At 31.7% G+C, this 2,354-nt stretch overlaps 1 annotated feature.

Annotated features, from left to right (window-relative positions):
- Positions 428–1,153: an enhancer, noted in NCBI's record as "OCT4-NANOG hESC enhancer chr14:42804851-42805576 (GRCh37/hg19 assembly coordinates)". NCBI's record gives its function as "activates a minimal SCP1, AML or CMV promoter by ChIP-STARR-seq in naive and primed H9 embryonic stem cells {active_cell/tissue: H9 hESC(naive and primed)}" and the evidence as "EXISTENCE:reporter gene assay evidence [ECO:0000049][PMID:30033119]".

The following is a 2,354-nucleotide window of genomic DNA, read 5'->3' as shown; positions in this document are numbered from 1 at the left end:
TCAACCTGTCCTTAGAGCTTGTAATCTCAAAAATGAAGTATAATTTCCCCCAGGCATTCATATGAATCCTGGGGAAACAAGCAAACAAACAAAAAACAAAACTCTGCTATAGCTTGAATTTTGTACTATCTCTGGAGAATGGAACCGATTGACTGAAAATAAATAAATAAATAAATAAAATTTGGAATGAACGAAGTTTACTCACCAAAAAAGAGGGCAGACCAAAAGGAAGAAATATTCTCTACAATATTAAAAGGAGAAAAATAAACATACAATAGATTCTTAACCTTTGGGAAAACAAGTGATTAGCTATGCTAGGTGAGGTGTTGGGAATGAAGGAAAAGAAGAATGTTTATTAGAATAAACATTCTAATTTATTATTACATATTTCTATTTTTAAAATTGTTTTACAGTATATGGGTACTAATATATTACTGTTATCATACATATATGAATATAAAAACTATAAGAGTAGATGCACATCTGAAAAAAAAATATTGAATTTTCCTAGACGGGAAAGATATATCCTTCTTTCATTCCTTTTCTTAAAACATTTATTTTGGAAAACCTGTAATTGTAAATGCTTTCTCTGCCCCTTTGAGATGTATGTAAATCTATTTAAAAGCTAAGTAGGCCTCCTGCCAGGTTTACAATCCAGGAATCTTTTCATCAAAGACCTGGGAACCAGCTCTTTGAAATGCAATCATCAAGAAAGACAATGCCTCCATCTTCAAGCCTCCCTGGGAGGGTAAGATTCTACCTTGAGCTGGTGCCTTGCTCCAAGTTGGTAATCTACCTTCCATTACAGAAATATCAGAAATTTATTTTTCCTTTAGATAAAGACAATTAGCAAAAATAGGTGGCTATCCCAACTACCAGGTGAATTTAGGATGAGCTATGTTTGACAAATTTTGCTATCAATTTCTCTTACTTGTGTACTAGTTATCGTTTGAGAACACATATGATGAAGAGGTGATTTTTTGACTATATGAACGAATGAGATGTCTTTCTATTTTTGCAAATTCTTTAGCAGATTGCCTGTGTTGTGCATCACATGCTGATTTAATACCTATTGAATTAATTAAAACACAAACTTCTCTTTTATTTGTGGAGTGATTTTCTCTGTTAGCAAAAGATTTTGTTTTTAATTATATTTCCCCAACAGAACATTACTAAGAAAGTAAGCTAAAAAGGGTGTGAGAGATTTTAGAATGCAAAAGAGCACTGTCCAGTAGAATCATAATGCTGGTGTCACTTATAATTTTAAATTTTCTAGTAGCCATAGTAAAAAGTAAAAGAAAAATATTTTGAAATTTGATCTGTATTTTACACTTAAACTACTTCTCAAATCAAATGTTTCTTTGAAAATACTTGATCTGTATTTGGATTTTTTTAACATGTATAATTGAAAAAGTAGACTCATATAATCAAGTTGTTCCAAACATACTTAAAAATTATTCAGTAACTCAATGATTAGTTTAAAAATTAAATTTTAAAGATTAGCACTTCAGTTACAGTAGCACATGCTCAATATTCAATTGTGGCTGGCTAGTCACTATTATATTGAACAGCATAGATTCAAAATGTCAACAAATGGTATCAGCAAAAGGAGACAGTATAAACATCAGAGTCCATGACATAGTCGATCAACAGTACTACGAGACTATAGAAAAGCATGATCAGCAGTTCTGGAATTGTCATTAGTTATTAATCTAATAACTGACCAGTTTTGAACTGTGAATGAAAAGAGACAGAACCTAAAGTGTTGCAGAGGAGGAACATGGAAATGCTTTCTAGAAGACCTTAAATGAGATTTTGGAGCACATATAAGGTGCCCTCTTGGGATTCATATCACTAATTTGGGGAAAATTAGTAGGGTCTCTGAGGAGAATTCTGAAGGTGCTTTAGAACCAGAGCTTCTATGAAATGTTCTTTTTCTGTCTCTTTGTATTCAAAGCAGTGCAGTGTAATGACACTAATGTTAAAGAAACATTTCTTTGAGTGAGACCTAGTAGAAACTGTGGGGGCGTCTAAACCAAGAAAATAATATATGCACTTACATCTGATCTTTCAAATAAATGTTAACATTAATAGTCTTGTGACGAGCTTACCATTTGCTTTTCTGAAAACAATTATTACCTGGAATATGTAAAATTTTTTAAAAAGTACTGCAATAAAGAGTTTGGAAAAATGATGTAGTTTAAAATGTACAGCAGTTTATAAGTATAACACATAGAATAAACTACTAAGAAATAACTTCACAGTGCCTGTATTCCGATTACATGAATTTGGGAAAATCGGCATACATTAAGCTCAAAAGATTATGCTCAAAAGAGTTATCTACGGTTTTCTAT

Source organism: Homo sapiens, chromosome 14 (genome assembly GCF_000001405.40).
Source record: "Homo sapiens chromosome 14, GRCh38.p14 Primary Assembly".
Classification (NCBI taxonomy): domain Eukaryota; kingdom Metazoa; phylum Chordata; class Mammalia; order Primates; family Hominidae; genus Homo; species Homo sapiens.
Note: the sequence above shows the minus strand (reverse complement) of the source record. Positions and strands in the feature narration are given on the sequence as shown.